This window comes from Homo sapiens, chromosome 14, assembly GCF_000001405.40.
Source record: "Homo sapiens chromosome 14, GRCh38.p14 Primary Assembly".
Classification (NCBI taxonomy): domain Eukaryota; kingdom Metazoa; phylum Chordata; class Mammalia; order Primates; family Hominidae; genus Homo; species Homo sapiens.
Genome location: NC_000014.9, coordinates 100,207,916 through 100,226,121, shown reverse-complemented (window position 1 = coordinate 100,226,121; position 18,206 = coordinate 100,207,916). Strand labels below are relative to the sequence as shown.

General features: G+C 51.1%; 1 long non-coding RNA gene across 1 annotated transcript in view, besides 6 other annotated features; it reads left to right on the top strand.

Moving 5' to 3' along the window:
• The window catches only part of YY1-DT (YY1 divergent transcript), a 31,542-nt gene that overhangs the window by 12,500 nt on the left and 836 nt on the right, over positions 1 to 18,206 (top strand). The gene's annotated exons all lie outside the window — the stretch shown is intronic.
• Positions 2,616 to 2,910: a silencer, noted in NCBI's record as "tiled region #8458; K562 Repressive non-DNase unmatched - State 5:Enh". NCBI's record gives its function as "represses a minimal TATA promoter and a strong SV40 promoter by Sharpr-MPRA in K562 cells {active_cell/tissue: K562}" and the evidence as "EXISTENCE:reporter gene assay evidence [ECO:0000049][PMID:27701403]".
• Positions 7,711 to 8,212: an enhancer, noted in NCBI's record as "H3K4me1 hESC enhancer chr14:100684247-100684748 (GRCh37/hg19 assembly coordinates)". NCBI's record gives its function as "activates a minimal SCP1, AML or CMV promoter by ChIP-STARR-seq in primed H9 embryonic stem cells {active_cell/tissue: H9 hESC(primed)}" and the evidence as "EXISTENCE:reporter gene assay evidence [ECO:0000049][PMID:30033119]".
• Positions 11,152 to 11,201: an enhancer, noted in NCBI's record as "active region_9029". NCBI's record gives its function as "activates an Ori minimal core promoter by ATAC-STARR-seq in GM12878 lymphoblastoid cells {active_cell/tissue: GM12878}" and the evidence as "EXISTENCE:reporter gene assay evidence [ECO:0000049][PMID:35858748]".
• Positions 11,422 to 12,141: a silencer, noted in NCBI's record as "silent region_6078". NCBI's record gives its function as "represses an Ori minimal core promoter by ATAC-STARR-seq in GM12878 lymphoblastoid cells {active_cell/tissue: GM12878}" and the evidence as "EXISTENCE:reporter gene assay evidence [ECO:0000049][PMID:35858748]".
• Positions 11,422 to 12,379: a biological region, named in NCBI's record as "H3K27ac hESC enhancer GRCh37_chr14:100680080-100680580".
• Positions 11,879 to 12,379: an enhancer, noted in NCBI's record as "H3K27ac hESC enhancer chr14:100680080-100680580 (GRCh37/hg19 assembly coordinates)". NCBI's record gives its function as "activates a minimal SCP1, AML or CMV promoter by ChIP-STARR-seq in primed H9 embryonic stem cells {active_cell/tissue: H9 hESC(primed)}" and the evidence as "EXISTENCE:reporter gene assay evidence [ECO:0000049][PMID:30033119]".

The window sequence follows — 18,206 nt, the reverse complement described above, 5'->3', positions numbered from 1 at the left end:
TTTAGTAGAGATGGGGTTTCACTACGTTGGCCAGGCTGGTCTCGAACTCCTGGTGTCAGGCGATCCGCCCACCTCGGCCTCCCAAAGTGCTGGGATTACAGGCACGAGCCATCGTGCCCAGCCTATTTTTTTTTAGACAGATTCTCACTCTGTCACCCAAGCTGCAGTGCAGCGGCGCAATCTCGGCTCACCGCAACCTCCGCCTCCTGGGTTCAAGCGATTCTTGTGCCTCAGCCTCCTGAGTAGCTGGGATTACAGGCGTACACCATCACGCCCAACTAATGTTTGTTATTTTTAGTAGAGATGGGGTTTCACCATGTTGGCCAGGCTGGTCTCGAACTCCTGACCTCAAGTGATCTGCCCACCTCAGCCTCCCAAAGTGCTGGGAGATTACAGGCGTAAGCCACCAGGCCTGGCCATCTTAACCATTTTTAAAATGTACAGTTCAATACAATATGAATTGAGTACATTCATATTGTTGTGCAGCCATCATCACCATCCATCTCCAGAACTCTTCATCTTGCAAAACTGAAACTGTATACCCATTAAACAATAACTCCCCATTCCCTCCTTCTCCCAGCCCTGGTAACCACCATTCTGATTCTTATCTCTATGATTTTGACTACCCTGGGTACCTCATTTATATTGGTCGGCTCATACAGTATTTGTCTTTTTGCGACTCTCTTATTAGAACTTAGCATAATGTCCTAAAGGTCATCCATGTTGTAGCATGTGTCAGAATTTCCTTCCTTTTTCAGGCTGAGTAATATTTCATTGTATGTATCTACCACATTTTGCTTATTCATCTGTCATTGGACACTTGGGTTGCTTATATGTTTTAGCTATTGTGAATAATGCTGTTATGAACGTGGGTCTATACATACACAGTTTTTATGTTTTATATTAAGAAAAAAAAATTTAAGCTGTGAAAGCCAGCTGTGCACGGTGGTTCATGCCTGTAATCACAGCACTTTGGGAGGCTGAGGCAAGATAATTATTTAAGTCCAGGAGTTCAAGACCAGCCTGGGCAACATAGTGAGACCCCGTGTCTACAAAAAAATACAAAAATCAGACAGACATGATAGCATGTGCCTATGGTCCCAGCTACTTGGGAGGCTGAGGTAGGGATCCCTTGAGCCCAAGAGGTCAAGGCTGCAGTGAGCTGTGATTGCGCTGCTGCACTCCAGTCTAGGGGGCAGAGTGAGACCCTGTCTCTCAAAAAAAAAAAAAATTAACTAAAAAAAGAAAAGCTGTTGAAGCCAAATCATCTATTTTGAGTTTATGCTTTTCCCCTGATTTCTCATTTTGGAGCCGGTCTTTCGGCTGCTTTAGCCAACTGTAACATTTCCCCACCAGAAGGAAAAATTAAAGTGGAAAGCTGGTCTCCCTGTTTAAAACATAATAGTGTAGTGACATGGTTAACTGTGTTTTGTGGTTAACTGAATTCAAGAGCTCTACCTGCTTCCTACTTCCTTTCCTCCCTCCCTCCCTCATAGCTAAAAAGTTTAACTTCTCACCGCCTGTATAATTCTCTAAAAAATTTTGACCTTCTTTGTCTCTTTGTCTCTGAAACTGTTCCCTGGAGAGTCACTGTGTGCCCATAGTCTGGGTGTTCCTTCATTGTACTGACTATGTTGTAACGGAATCATCAGTCTGTTTCCACAGTGAACTATATAGGAGACCAAAAAAGCAACTAATTCAGTTCACTAAATATCAAGTGCTCCCATGTGGCAGCCACCACTGGGCACCCAGAGCTCAGTAATGATGAGCCAACTGGGTACCAAGACACTCTTCATGGAACATCTCTTTTTTAAGGTGGGAAGAGGTGGTATTTAGATTTACTGATTTGGTGGGCATCATAGAATTTGAGTGAAAAGAGACCCTGGAGCTGATTTAGTCCAGTTACTTGATCTGTAAGCACGGTCCTGAGATCGGCTGTTGAACTGCTAGAGTTTTTCTGCTTTCATCCTGGTTGCTCAGTGCGCTGTAACGAACGCTGATTTTCTTAAGTTGGCTCTCTGGCCCTGATCTTCCTCTACTCAAAAGCCACCACCCTTCTGCATATATCTTCCTGGCAGTTACACCATGTTATCTGCCATGTCCCAGCTGTCTCCTTGCTTTGCCTTCTACCTGGAATGTATTCCTCCCCACACTCTGCCTCTGGACACTTAATCCTTCAACTTCCGCCTGAGATGCCACTTTCCCAGCATTCCAGCCCGACATAAGCCCTCCCTCTTGAGCGACCATATTCCCCTGATCAGCATGGTATGTGTGTTACACATGGCTTTGGGCTTTGAACTGTACTTGTATGTCTCTGTTGAAACCTGCCACTCCTCCTATCAGTCCAGCTAGCTGTGTTGATATGTTACGTGAGCACAAAGAAAGGAATGGGAGATACACACTCATTAGTTAATAATGGTTACCTTAGGCAAGGCAGGGGAGAGAATAAAGAATTAAAGATGAAACTCATCCACTGACCTCCCAGCAAGTGTGTGCAATAAGAGCTCACTATTCAAAGCTATGAGACATGGCCACATGTGGGTCACTGGGAAGCAGATTGAGAAGTGCATCTAGGCTGTTCCAGCTGGTACAGGTCACGTCAGCAACTCAGCTGAGGATTTAGAGACTGCTTTCAGAAGCATGGGATAGCCTTTACAGTGAATCAAACAGAGCTCCTACTTAGGGGACAAAGAGCAAAATCACTCCTCGCACCTCCTCGCATCTGTGTCTTTGACTGCAGCTGCCTATTCACTAGTTCTCATCCTGCCTGTGACCCAGCTCTCCCATCTTGTCTCTCGCAGTCTCTTCCTGTCCTCCTCCTGGTGTGTCAGTTTTTTCTTTTCCCGTCCCTGGTATGTCTGTCTTCCCACCCCCTCCTCCCTTTTAATAGAGGCACTGTGTGTATTTCACACTTGTTCTGTTTATTGGCGATGGCTTTCTATGTTATTAATAGAGCCAGTGGCCAGCAGATGCATTGTGCTTTGGGGCTTTCTTTTCCCCCTTGAAAAATTCCAGCCTAAGTTATTTTTCAGTGAGTAAACAGGCTTTAATTGATTTCTCTCCCTGTGGGTCAGTGATCTATAGAGAAGCACTGCCCCCCGGTCCCCTTGAACCACAGGGCTGGAAAAGGCCAGAGCCTCTGGAGCTCTGCATGGGCCCCCACAGCTGGACCCCTAGCCTGCCCTCGCATCCTGTCTTCCTTCCTTCCTTCCCTCCCCCCATCCACCCACTGTATAAATCAGAGCCCTGGGGGCCAGCCTGCGTCTCCACACCTACTCCACCGACAAGCCAGGTCTCCCCGGTGTTTCTCCTTCTCCCCTCTTGGGTGCTGGGAATGGGATGGGCTAGGCCTCCTCTTTGGCATTTCCTCTGGGTCTGCAGACTGGCAAGGTAAAAACTGTTTCTCAAACTCTCTGGGAACTGGGGTCCTGGAAGAAGACTGGGCTTCTTCAATCAGATGTTCCGTTTGGGAAGGCTGAAGTCAGGTGGATTAATAGTCTTCCCCCTATTTTGTTTTCTGGCAAGTTCATGGAGACGGAGCTCATTCCGTGTCTGCGCCTCGGTTTGTGGGCGCCAGGAGGAAGTTGTTGCAGGAGTGGTCACATTGTTTTCTGAACCCCTGGTCACCCCGCAGCTGCACACTCTTGAACTCAGTAATGCTAGTGGAGGCCCCCTGATCCCACCTTCCTGACTTGGCTCTTTTTGGTGGGTCAGCCATTCCCGGATCCCCAGCCCATTGTTTTCAGCCTATCCCATAAGCTCCTAATTCCCTGTATTAACCCTTGTCAGTTTAAATACTGAGAGTAATTTCCTACACTTCCCACATCAGACCTGCACCCCAAGCCCCACCCCTGGGGCTCCCCTGTGGCCTTCCAGCTTCCGCTCATCACTCACCCCCACAGCCCATGGCATTTTAAAGACAAATCTAATCATGGAATTCCCTTGCTGAGAACCCTTCAAAAGACAGTTTTACTGAAAAGGAAATGCAAACCCCCGACCAAGGCTTAAGGCGTAGCTCCTCCCCTGCCTGCTTCAACTCCTGTCGTATGCCCCTCGCACAGGCCAGATTCCTCAAACACACCACACTCCTCCTTCCTCATTGCCTTAGCACATGTGGTTCCCTCTGCCTGGAATGCTTTTCCCTTGCTCTCCTGTTTCTTTGCTCTGCTAGTTCCTCTTCTCCAGGTCTCAGCTTAAATATCTCCGCTGCAAAGATCCTCTGCTTACCGCGAGCCGGGCAGCTCCACCCTCCCCAATATTCCTTCTCCCTCACCCCATCTGTGTTTTCATAGCAGCGCAGTTTGCAGTTCTGTGCTGGTTTGGGTGCTTGGTTATCTCTCCCTGTTGATTGTGTCGGTTGCTACTTGATTCCACTGCTGCTTACAAAGAGCGGCTCAATCAATGCTCCTGAAGTGAAAGCCTGCCGAGGCAGTGAGGCCACGCCCAGTTAAGAGCAGCCTTTGGGGCTGCGGTTGTTAGCAAAGAGCTAGTATCGCAAGCCTTACACAGAGAGGTGCTCAATATCTGAACTGGATTGAAAGTCACTTCCCCTCTGGGAGCCTCTGTTGTTCCAGTTCCCAAAACTCAAGGGCCCTGGTTGTCCCGAGAGGAGAACCAACTTCCTGCTGTAAATTCAGCCTGTATTTTACACATTGCATATGCTTGGGCTTGGTTTAAACTGTCCAGCCTGCTTTAAACCAAGTTACAAGGGTCAGGTCCTACAAACAACCAAAAGAACTCCTTAGCAGAATGGGGCCTGGGTCATGGATGTAACTCTGTCCTAAGGGCAGATTTATGGGCCTACCTTGGGGGCAAAGTAACAACTCAGCCTTAAATCATAAAAGCTGTGAAAGCAGTAAGGCTGCTTCTGGAGTGGGCGACTTTCTCGGAAGCTCCATGGTGATGGTGAGCCGCTTGGACGAGCTGGAAGAGGTCAGGGCAGATGTGAGGGAGCCAACTTCCTGGGGCACCTACTGGGCAGCAGCCTCGAGTGTCAGCTATCCTGTGTCTGCCTGTATTTTATTATTTATTTATTTATTTATTTTTGAGACGGAGTCTTGCTCTGTCGCCCAGGCTGGAGTGCAGTGGTGCGATCTTGGCTCACTGCAAGCTCTGCTTCCCGGGTTCACACCATTCTCCTGCCTCAGCCTCCTGAGTAGCTGGGACCACAGGTGCCCGCCACCATGCCCAGCTGTTTTGTTTGTTTGTTTGTTTGTTTATATTTTTAGTAGAGACGGGGTTTCACCGTATTAGCCAGGATGGTCTCGATATCCTGACCTCGTGATCCGCCCACCTCAGCCTCCCAAAGTGCTGGGATTACAGGCGTGAGCCACTGCGCCCGGCCTATTTTTTATTTCTCAACAGTCATGGTCTCACTCTGTCTCCCAGGCTGGAGCGCAGTGGCACAATCATGGCTTACTGCAGCCTAGTACTCCTGGGTTCAAGTGATCCTCCCACCTCAGCCTCTTTAGCAGCTGGGACAACAGGTGCACACCACCACCATGCCTGGCTAATTTTTTTTTTTAAATATTTCTGTAGGCCGGGCATGGTGGCTCACGCCTATAATCCCAGCCCTTTGGGAAGCCGAGGTGGCTTGAGGTCAGGAGTTTGAGAGCATCCTGGCCAACATAGCGAAATCCCATCTCTACTAAAAGTACAAAAATTAGCCAGGAGTGGTGGCACATGTCTGTGATTCCAGCTACTCGGGAGGCTGAGGCATGAGAATCACTTGAACCTGGGAGGTGGAGGTTGCAGTCAGCCGAGATCACGCCACCGCACTCCAGCCTGGGCAACAGAGCAAGACTCTTTCTCTAAATAAATAAATAAATAAATAAATAAATAAATACAGATATGCCATGATTGTGCCACTGCTCTCCAGCCTGGGTGACAAGAGTGAGACCGTGATTTGAAAATATACATATACATTTTTTTTTAAGAGGCAGGATCCTGGCCGGACACGGTGGCTCATGCCTGTAATCCCAGCACTTTGGGATGCCGAGGTGGGTGAATCACAAGGTCAGGAGTTTGAGACCAGCCTGGCCAACATGGTGAAACCCTGTCTCTACTAAAAATACAGCAATTAGCTGGGCATGGTCGTGGGCGCCTGTAGTCCCAGCTACTCCAGAGTCTCCAGCAGGAGAATTGCTTGAACCCGGGAGGTGGAGGTTGCAGTGAGCCGAGATTGCACCACTGCAAGAGATCGCACCAGCCTGGGCGACAGAGCGAGACTCCATCTCAAAAAAAAAAAAAAGAAAAAAAAAAAGGCAGGATCCTGCTGTATTGCCCAGGGTAGTCTCAAACTCCTGGGCTCAAGGGATCCTCCCACTTAGGCTTCCCAAAGTGCTTGGATAACAGGAGTGAGCTATCATGCCCAGCCCTGTGTCTGCCTTTAAAATGACCTTAGACTTCGCAAAACACAGGAGTTAACTGGGACAAAGAGGTATGAAGAAAAGGAAACTGATACCACAAGGAGAAGAGAACACAAGGCCCAGCAGTCTGGGCTTGTATTAGCTCATGGCCTTGCATAGCATTGGGCCCTGTGCCTAGAGCCTGAGATGACTTCACCTTTGGGGGAGTGAGAGCTCTGAATCTGGCGGTGCTTTGACATTTTAACAAACTGGCAACAGTGGTGCCCCTTGTGTCTTCCCAGCACCTGCCCCCTTCAGCTCAAATTCCTTGCTTCAGTTACTGCATCTGAAATGATGTCCGAGCTGGAAATGAATAGAAAGAACACAGAACTGCTCCTGCTTCAGTCCTCACTCTTACTAGCTGTGTGACCTTGGACAAGTGACCTAACCTCTCTGAGCCCCAGCAGAGAAGCAGGCCTGGCTTTCAAGGTGATTGTGAGAATGAAGTTAGGTGGTACATATAAAGAAACTTAGCTTGGTGCCTTCTTCCTGGTATATCCTAAGTGTGTTTCCATGAAGAGCACTGGGACGTTGCTATGGAAGCACAGAGCAGAGGAGGGGTGAGCACTGGCCAAAAATCAGGAGACCCGAATTCTACTCACCATGCTACCAATGCAGTGTGACCTTGGGTACATCCCCTCTGGGTTGAAATAGATTTGTATGTATGAAAAGTGCCCTAAAAAGTCACAACTGGGCTGGGTGTGGTGGCTCACGCCTGTAATCCCAGCACTTTGGGAGGCCAAGGTGGACAGATCACTTGAGGTCAGGAGTTCATGACCAGCCTGGCCAACATGGTAAAACCCCATCTCTACTAAAAATACAAAAATAATTAGCTGGGGCTTAGTGGCGCACACCTGTAATCCCAGCTACTCCGGGCGGCTGAGGTGGGAGAATTGCTTGAACCTAGAAGGCAGAGGTTGCGGTGAGCCAAGATCACACCACTGCACCCCAGCCTGGGCGACAGAGTGAGACTCCGTCTCAAAAAAACAAAGTCACAACAAAAAGGGCCCATTTCTGCCAGCTTCCACGTGGGCTTTTATAATAGTTTACAGGAGCTCACTGGGTGCGCCCAGGACCAGGGTGGGGAGACTGAAGCCTGTGGAGCAGGCCACGGCAGGACCAGGCAGGGCCTCCCACGTGCTGTCCTGCAGGACCTCGCTCACTGAAGACGCCATCAGTCAGGCCATCATCAGTTTGCCCAGAAGCTTGTGAGCACCAGCAGACAGGGCCACCTCTCTTTTACCCTGTGCCTTGCTAGAATCAGCCGGGGCTAGGAAAACAGCGGTTGATACAAACAGACATGAGTGGCAGCGGGTGGGCACTGAAGCCAGGCTTCTAGCCCAGGCCCAGCAGGTTCTGTGAGCAGGTGCTGTGCTGTTGACCAGTGCCATTCCTGTTCCAATGAGGCATCGAAGCTGGCACAGGGGGCTTTGCTGGGCTGCAACAGGTGTTCAGGATGGGGCTCAGAGGTTGGCACTTGGCAAGCAGAAGGGGCACGGGCTGGCCAGTAGAACAGCGCTGGGGTGCACGAGGCAAGAGGTAGAGATAAGTCACTGAGAAGGGCAGAAGTGGGGGGACCTGTTTCCAAAGCACTAAGGCTGGTGGCCAGAGCCCTGCCGGCTGCATCAAGTCAGGAGAGTGTGCTCCTGGAAGCATGGGCAAGCGGGGGAGACTCAACCTTAGTTCTGAGTCCAGAAATAAAATGGCCCTCTATTACACAGTTATCTTTGACTCCTCAAGCCCCTCTTGCTTTCACATTGAGTCACTAAATGCTGTCCTTTTTCTGATAGTCTCTACATTTTATTCCTTTGCTTTCAATTTGGTGAGAAAGGTATACATACAGAAGTGTATACAAAAACTGTGCAAAGAAGTTAGAGAATAATTGTATCATGAACCAGCACCCAGGTAAAGATATAAACACAGCCAGCATCCCAGAGGCTGTGCCCCAGCCTGACCATGACCGTTCCTTCTCCCTACAGGTCCTAGTGCAGTTTTGTGATGTGATACAGCCTTGCATTTCTTTATTGCTTTGCACCATTGGGGTTTTAATTGGGATTGCATGGATCTTATAAATCACATGGAGAAAGTGGACTTCTTTTAATGTTAATCCATGGACGCGGTATATCTCTCTAGTTACAATGTCCCCTTTGTCTCACAATCAGGGTTTCTGATTTTCTCCATAGAGATCTTGTACTTTTAAAAAAATTGTTTTCTTGGCTAGGTGCGGTGGCTCGTGCCTGTAATCCCAGCACTTTGGGAGGCCAAGGCAGGCAGATTACTTGAGGTCAGGAGTTTGAGACCAGCCTGGCCAACATGGTGAAATCCTGTCTCTACAAAAATACAAAAATTGGCTGGGCGTCATGGCGGGCGCCTGTAATCCCAGCTACTTGGGAGGCCGAGGCAGGAGAATTACTTGAACCCAGGAGGCAGAGGTTGCAGTGAGCCCAGATCGTGCCATTGCACTCCAGCCTGGGTGACAGAGCAAGACTGTTTCAAAAAAGAAAAAAAAATTGTTTTATTTTATTTCTTTCCTGAGATCTCTGTATGTACTTGTTTTATTAAGAGGTCTGTGATATTATTATAAATTTTTTTTTTTCTTTTTTGAGACACAGTCTCGCCCTGTCGCCCAGGCTGGAGTGCAGTGGCACAATCTCGGCTCACTGCAACTTCCGTCTCCTGGGTTCAAGCGATTCTCCTGCCTCAGCCTCCTGAGTAGCTAGGGCTACAGGTGTGTGCCACCACGCCCGGCTAACTTTTTTTGTATTTTTTAGTAGAGACAGGGTTTCACCGTGTTAGCCAGGATGGTCTTGATCTCCTGACCTCATGATCTGCCCACCTCGGCCTCCCAAAGTGCTGGGAGTGTGAGCCACCGCACCCAGCCTATAAATGATTTTTCTTGCTGGATGTTTTAACTGTTACAGCTGGAATTTTAAAATGCAGCTGAGAGTGCCTATAGTCCCAGGTACTCAGAAGGCTGAGGTGGGAGTATTGCTTGGGCCCAGGAGGCTGCATTCCAGCCTGGGCAACATAGCAAAACCCCATCTCAAAAGATAAATAAAAATTTTTTAAATGAAAATGCAGTGGGTTTGTGTATATTGATTTTTATATCTAGCAAGCTCACTAAACTCTCATGGTAACTTACCTTGTGATTCTTTGGCTTTTATATCATCTCTAAATAATGACAGTTTGTTTTTTTCCTTTCAGATCTTTATATCCTTTTCTTTTTCCTTGCCTTTCTTCCCTGGCCTGGACTTCCCGTACAGTTTGCACCCTACTGGAGGTGGTGACAGTGGGCATCGTTGCCATGTTTCCATTCTCACAGGGAAAGCTATCATTGTTCCTCCACTATCTACGATGTTTGTTATGGGGTTTTACAGCTACCCTTTGTCAGGGCAAGGAAGTCCCTTCCATTCTTAGGTTGCTAAGAGTTTTTCTCATGAGTGGATCTTTAGTTTTCTCTACGAGCCTAGAGAGGATGGTATGTCTTTTCCTTTTTTCCATTAAAGTGATAGATGATGCTGAGTTTTCCAATGCTGACGGACCCTGCGCTCCTGAGAGAAACAGGCTTGACTGTGTTGTATTGTCTTTTTTAGAAGCTGCCAGATTCAGTTTGTTACTCGTGTAGGATTTTTGTGTCTATTTTTCATGAATGAGATTGCCCTGTCCTTTTTCTTTTTCATATTTCCCTTATTAGGTGTTGGTGTCAAGGTTATCATTGCCTCACCGAACCAGTTGGGCAGTCCCCTCTTTTTCTGTGTTCTGAGTTTGTATAAAAGCGGAACTCTTTGTTCCATACATGTATATTAAAACTCACGGAGGATGCCATCTGGGCCTGGAGTTTGCTCTGCAGGAAGGTCGACTCCTGATTAACTTGGTCTTTCATGAACCTCCCATCCTTCCAGACCAGACCACCTCACCGGTGGACCATAGTGGCACCCTAAGGAGCACTGCCCCAGGCCTCCTCCCCAGCCAGTCTTCCTGTTCCCAGCTCTCTCCACCGGTCCCCACTGTCCCCTGATAAAATGTAGATTTACTGTCAGACTCAGGGCCCTCACCTGTGGCCAAACCACTTGCCTATCCTACCCTTCTGCTGTGTCCTGCTGAACTGGAGGCACGCCTGGGCCTCCTGTGCTGGAGCCTCCGCCCACGTGTGGCCCATCCAGACTCCTCCTGCCACTAGGGCCACTTCTTCCGGGAAGCCTGCCCTTCCCTTTAACTGCAGGGCCCTGTCTCCTATAGCTCCCAATTTCCACGTATGATCAAGACCGCTCTGGGGTAGAATTATAATCACTCCCTACCCAAGTGAGTGATCCGAGAGGATGGGTATATGCTTCCAGTTACTTGCTTATTCGGTCAACAAAACATACGAAGCACCAGGCACCATATGGAGCTGGAATACATCAGTAACCAAGACTCACAGCTTCCAGTCTCCAGAGCTCTCCAGTGAGTGGAAATAAGACAGCTTTCACTCGACAGGTGAGCACTGAAAAACGAGTTTTAATCACCCAGAATCCCACTGCTAATGGATGAGAGCATTTCTTCTCTTCTCCGCTTTAAAAAGGCGTATAATTATCTACCTGAGTAAGTACAAGCTACACACTACGCTAATTTACGGATAAGGAAACCGAGGCGTGGGGCACTGAGGCTGAAGCTGGCCCGGCTTAGGAATGCTTGGGGTCTGGATTTTGACTCAGCAGGTTGACTCGGAGCCTCCCTGCCTTCTTGAAAAAATAGAATGTGTGTTGAGCTCTGTCCTCGTTTGGGCCTCGAGTTTCACTTATCTTACTACAGACACCACCTTGGGAACACGAAATGTGCATCTCGCCCCTATCTGGGTGTCACCCTCACCGGCTCCCTTGCTTTCTTTTCGGGCTGTAGGGGCAGAACCCAGCCCGGGAGTTCGGAGCCTGGGCTCTCCCGGCGCTGCCATCAACTCCCTGTGATCCCAGCTCGTCACTAGGCCTCTCTGCGCCTCTTTCCACCTGTGTTAGGCGGGGCTGGGATTCCACCCCTGGCGATGGGCGTCGAGGATCCAGCACAGCCGGGGCGGGGCTAGGCGGGCGCGGGGGACGAGGGGCCCCGGGGAGGAGGGCGGGGCGGGGCACGAGGGCCCTGAGAGCCGGAAGCGCGGGGCGGGGCCTGTGCCGGGTGCACCTCGCGAGCTAGCTGCCGCCCCGCCTGTGTCGCGGTCGTACCCTCCGCCCTCTGCGCCGAGAGCCGCTGCCGCCCGAGACCTTCGAGGGCTCCTCGCCCCTGCTTCCTGGGAGACCCTCTCCGCTGGGAGAGTCGCAGTCACGGAGCCGGGGGACACCTGTACGGGCAGGCGGCCGGCGAAGGCCCGGCCCGAGAGGAAGCGGGCCCCGAACGCCGCAACTGCCTGGGAAGCGGCTTTGCGTGTGCGCGGCGAGAGTAGCGGGGCCATTGCCGGGCGTCTCAGGCGCCCGGGGCACCTCCGCCCTTCTTCCTGCCGCAGCTTCCTCGCGGCACTGGGAAGGGCGGCGGGAACGCAGGCGCTGCGCCGGGCGAAGGCCGCGGCCCTGCTCTCATCCTCAGCAGTTGGGAGGCTGGGGCTGGGCTACACCGACCCGAGCGGGGGCCGGGCGCGGGCCAGGCTCCTCCCTCATCTCCGGCTCCGTGGGCCGCGTGGCTGCCCCTTGGCAGGCTCTGCGGGGTCCCTGTCCCTGCCTGGGTAGTGTGCGCCCTTACCCTCCCGCCCCGCTTCAGGCCCTGCAGTTGAGAACACGGCGCCCTCGCCCCAGCCTGGTCCTCGCTCTAGATCCCGACCCTGACGCAGCCTGGGGAAGCCTACAAAGCCCCTCTCAAAATATTTTTAGATGAATAAAATAACAAGATTAGGAAGGAAGGCTACTATGGTAAATAGTTGGCTGGTCGCGGGGCTCACGCCGGTTTTCCCAACAATTTGGGAGGCCGAGGCGGGAGGATCGCTTGAGCCTAGGAGTTGGAGACCAGCCTGGCCAACATAGTGAGACCGTCTCTACAAAAACTTTTTTTTTTAATTAGCCGGGCGTGGTGGAGCACATCTGAGGGCCCAGCTACTCGGGAGCTGAGGCAGGAGGATCCCTTAAGCCTGGGAAGTCAAGGCTGCAGTGAGCCGAGATGGGTGCCACTTCACTCCAGCCTAGGCGACAGAGTGAGACTTGCAGAAGGAAAGAGAGAAAAGAAATACAGTAACAGTTAATAAAATTCTTAACACACATGTAATAATGTATTTTACTCACACATTAAATAACAAGACTAAAGTTGCAAGTCTAATATTCACCATGATTTTGAAATACCAGTGAGTATAAATGATATTTAGAGATTTCTGCAACAGCTGAAATGTGATATGAATATATCTGGGTTTCTCTTGGTGACAAAGTCACAGGGACAGCTAACACCTACTACTGTGGGAATTTTAATATCAGAGGTGGGTGAAAATGAGATCGCATACATTCCTTCAACCCAAATTCAGAAGCCCCCTGGCTTCTATCCTCTGACCTCCCTTCCCCTCCCCTCTCTCTGTGGATCCCAGGTTAAGAACCCCCACCCATGTGACGGGGTGTGAAGAGCTCAGTGGGAGGGGCAGAGAGGAAGAGCCTCCCTGACCCCGGTGTTTGCCTAAAGAGAAGCACAGAGCCAGTTTTCATACTCTGGGCCTTTGCACATGCTGTTCCCTCTGCTGGGCCTTCCCATCCCCCTGCCCCCTCTGCCACCCCAACCTCCTGTCTCCTTGAAAATACCCTACCCCATGCCACCCCCAGCATGGGGTTTCCTCTCTTCTCTTGCTGTCTAGTATCTTCCCAGCTCCACACAGAGCCTGTGTGTTGATCTCAGGGGTTTGTGTTCAGGCCTGGCCTCCTGCTGGGCTGAGCTAGGCAAGGCCTGGGCTGGGGCTGCTCCATCCCTAGGGCCCATTTCAATACTGGTGCTCAACGCATGTTTATTGGATGGATGGATGGATGGATGGATGGATGGATGGATGGATGGATGGAAAAGGTCATGCCCACCATGTTTTCTAAGCATCTTGCAGTCAGCAGCCGCCTGACTCATCTTTGGGCACCCTCCCCTGGCAACAGCAAAGGCTGTGTCACCAGCCCTTCCGACCAGGCTCCTGAGGGGGGTCTTGCATACCTTCTCACAGGTCGTGTCCTAAGATCCCATTTCACCAGTGGGGAACCTGGCCCTGGGAAAGGTCAAGGCTGGCTCCCTTGGTCTGGGAGCTGGCAAGTGGTGCATGAGGGATTCCATCCAGCCTGCCCTGGCCACACTGCTATCCGGTACATCAGCTCAAAGGGCCTCTGCAGAGGCCAAGGTGATGGGAGAGTTGGCCACATGTGAGAATAAGCCCATGCCCTCTGGAGGGAACTCTACTTTGAGTGATAACACTTCTTAAAATGGTTAAGTCATCATTAAGACAAAAACCAAATACACTTCTGATTTCATTCACCCTGTGCACCCGTGGTCACCCCAGCCAAGGGAGACTTGGTGATGCAGGGGATTGAGAAGCAGCCACTGTCTCGATGCTCCCAGCATGGTGGGGGCACCAGGAGTGTGAGTTGGAGGGGGGAAGGAGAGGGCAGGACCACTGGGGCAGGCTGGGAGGGCTTCACGGAGGAGGTGCTGCTTGGGTGAGGCCTAAAGGTCAGTAGGAATTACCTGTATGCAGGAGAGGATGGAAGGGAGTAGGAGGACACTGTAGTCCAAAGGCCCGAGGGGTGAACCTGCAAGTCCCATTTGGACAACTGAGCTCAGCTTGGGGAGCTCGGCCCTTAGGAGCCTCCGGTACAGCACACGAAACCAGTCAGCCACAAAACCAGGAGGTGGTTGTTAAGTTTCTTCTACCCATGCAGGTAAAGTTGAGAGAACCGTGAACTGGTTTCCTGCGGAGAGGATCCTGGAGCACAGTCCATGGCTGGGAGCCTCCAGACCTCGGGTGCGAAAGGTAGTGATGGGAGAAGGGAGGACACCCCAGGCAGAGGACACGACCTGGACACAGAAGTGGAGACTGGATTGGGAGTAGAGGAGTGAGGCTGCCTGGTGCCTCAGAGCTGGAGGAAGAATGACAACTGAGCCTGGACACCTGGGCTGGGGCAGGACACCTGGGACACTGGGAAGAGCCTGGGGCACTGGGAAGAGCCTGAGGCACCAGGCTGAGGCACCTGGGGCTGGCGGGCAGGAGGGCGCGTACGGGGGGAGCCACGGAGGCCTTTGGATACTCTAGCACTGTGTGGAGGATGGCGGAGAAAGGCTCGCACAGGCCCCCTGAGCCCGGCATGGGGATCCTGGGTAATAACCACACCTACCCACCTACCCAATGGGTACAGACCTTTTATCTCATTGGATTCACCCAACATCTTATGAAGAAGGCAGAAAAGTTTATTCACTTATCCAAAAAACATGATCCGTTTAGATCTGAGCTGGAATAACAGAATTTTCTTTTTACTTTTCCCTCCCTCCCTTCCTTCCTTCTCCCTTTCCTTTCTTTTTTGACAGGGTCTCATTCTGTCACCCAGACTGGAGTGCAGTAGCACAATCAGGGATTGCTGCAGCCTCAACTTCTGGGCTCAAGTGATGCTCCCACCTGAGCCTCCTTAGTAGCTGGGACTACAGGTGTCCAGGTGTGCACACCACACCCAGCTAATTTTTGTATTTTTTGTAGAGACGGGGTCTTGCCATGCTGCCCAGGCTGGACAGAGAACTTTCACATTCTGTATTATATATTTCCAAACTATTGTAAAATTTGATAATGAGCATATATTACCTTTATAATCAGAAAAAAGACAATAAAGATTTTTAAAAAATAATGATCCAGGTCAGGCACAGTGGCTCAAGCCTGTAATCCCAGCACTTTGGGAGGCTGAGGCAGGCGGATCATGAGGTGAGGAGATCGAGACCATCCTGGCTAACATGGTGAAACCCTGTCTCTACTAACTTTGGGAGGCCGAGGTGGGCGAATCACTTGAGGTCAGGAGTTCGAGACCAGCCTGGCCAACATGGTGAAACCCCATCTCTACTGAAAACACAAAAATTAGCTGGGTGTGGTGGCATATGCCTGTAATCAAATCCCAGCTACTCCAGAGGCTGAGGTGGGAGAATCACTTGAACCGAAGAGGTAGAGGTTGCAGTAAGTCGAGACTGCGCCACTGCACTCCAGCCTGTGCAACACACCGAGACTCCATCTCAAAAAAAAAGATTCAGGACTAGGATACAAAGTTGACTCTCCCCAGATTAGCTGGATTTTCCAAACATCCAAATATCACAATGCACACCCTCTCCATTCACACAGGCCCCTTCATGGAGACCCACAGCAGAGGTTTCCCTGAGTTCTCAGTAATTGATAAGATTCTTTTTTTTTTTTTTTTTTTTTTTTTTGAGACGGAGTCTTGCTCTGTTGCCCAGGCTGGAGTGCAGTGGCGCAATCTCGGCTCACTGCAAGGTCCGCCTCCCAGGTTCACGCCATTCTCCTGCCTCAGCCTCCTAAGTAATTAATAAGATTCTTAACCTTAGGATCCCTATCTAACCCTGTTTCTCTTTTGTACTGGCCATCAGGAAGCAGGATGTCAAATGTGAATTTCGCCTCTTCCCCCCTTGGCATTTGTGCAGGACCTTCTGCCATGTACTTTTGTTGTTTGTTTTTAGAGACATGGTTACTATGTCGTCCAAGCTGGTCTCAAACAACTGTGTTCCAGGGATTCACCCACCTCAGACACCCAAAGTGCTGGGATTCCAGGCGTGAGCCTCGCCCGAGCCCAGCCTGCCGTGCAATTTTGCATATTAACTATACTCCTTTGCCTGACTCCTCTACCTTTATTTTACTTTATACTCATTTTTACCGAAGCTGCCTCTTCCTTTTGGAATGACACAAGACACAAATTGATACTTTTTTTTTCTTTTTGTAACAAAGTCTCAATCCATCATCCAGGCTGGAGTGCAGTGGGCTTCAGCCTTCAACTCCCCAGATTCAGGCAACCCTCCCACCTCAGCCTCCTGAGTAACTGGGACCACAGGCGCACACCACCACGCCTAATTTTTGTATTTTTTATAGACAGGCTCCACATACCTGGCCACCATACAGGAGCCACCATATCCAGCTGATACATTTTTTCCTTAAAAACCATAGAAAAGCAACTGAAAGGGAAAAAAACGTAACTAAAAGAGAGCAAGCACATTCGCTGAGTGCAGTGGCTCACACCTGTAATCCAAGCATTTGGGGAGCCAGGGTGAGAGGATCCCTTAAGACCGGGAGTTTGAGACCAGCCTGGGCAACATAGTGAGACTTCATCTCTACAGGACATTAAATTAGTTGGGCATGGTGGAGCACACCTGTAGTCCACCAGCTTAGGAGGCTGAGGTGGGAGGAATGCTTGAGCCCAGGAATTTGAGGTTACAGTGAGCCACAATTGCGCCACGGTACTAAAGTCTGAGTGACAGAATGAGACCGTCTCAAAAAAAGAAAAAAGAAGGCAGGGCATGCTGGCTCATGCCTGTAATCCCAGCACCTTGGGAGGCCGAGGCAGGTGGATCACCTGAGGTCAGGTGTTCAAGACCAGCCTAGCTAACATGGTGAAACCCCATCTGTACTAAAAATACAAACATTAGCCGGGCGTGGTGGTGGGCGCCTGTAATCCCAACTACTTGGAAGGCTGAGGCAGGAGAATCACTTGAACCCGGGAGGCGGAGGTTGCAGTGAGCCTAGATTGCACCACTGCACTCCAGCCTGGGTGACAGAGTGAGACTCCCTCTTAGAAAATAAAAAAAAGAGAGAGAAGCAGGCTCTTGGTAGGAGGCCTGGCATAATGCCTGGACCAAAAGTAGTATCCATCCATTTCCTTAAAAAATAATATGTTTTGGCCGGGTGTGGTGGCTCACACCTGTAATCTCAACACTTTGGAAGGCCGAGGCAGGAGAATCACCTGAGGTGAGGAGTTCAAGACCAGCCTGGCCAACATGGCAAAACCCCTTCTCTACTAAAAATACAAAAAAATTAGCCAGGCATGGTGACAGGCACCTATAATCCTGAGAGGTGACAGCGTGCTGGCAGCCCTTGCTCGCTCTCGGTTCCTCCTCGGCCTTGGCTTGAGGAGCCCTTCAGCCCACCGCTGCACCGTGGGAGCCCTTCTCTGGGCTGGCCGAGGCCAGAGCCGGCTTCCTTGGTTTGCCGGGAGGTGTGGAGGGAGAGGCATGGGCTGGAACCGGGGCTGCACGCCGCGCTTGCGGGCCAGATAGAGTTCCGGGTGGGCGTGGGCTTGGCGGGCCCCACACTCGGAGCGGCCAGCCGGCGCAGGCAGTGAGGGGCTTAGCACCTGGGCCAGCAGCTGCGGAGGGCGCACCGGGTCCCCCAGCAGTGCCGGCCGCTCGATTTCTTGCCGGGCCTTAGCTGCCTCCCCGCGGGGCAGGGCTCGGGACCTGCAGCCCGCCATGCCTAAGCCTCCCCCGACCCTCTACCCGCTCCCCACCGGGGCTCCTGCACAGCCTGAGCCTCCCTGACGAGCGCCGTCCCCTGCTCCAGGGCGCCCGGTCCCATCAACCGCCCAAGGGCTGAGGAGTGCAGGCACAGGGCACGGGACTGGCAGGCAGCTCCACCTCCAGCCCCAGTGCAGGAGCCACTGGGTGAAGCCAGCTGGGCTCCTGAGTCTGGTGGGCACTTGGAGAACCTTTATGTCTAGCTAAGGGATTGTGAATGCACCAGTTCGCACTCTGTATCTAGCTCAAGGTTTGTAAATGCACCAATCAGCACTCTGTCTAGCTCAGGGTTTGTAAATACACCAATTGACACTCTATCTAGCTAATCTAGTGGGG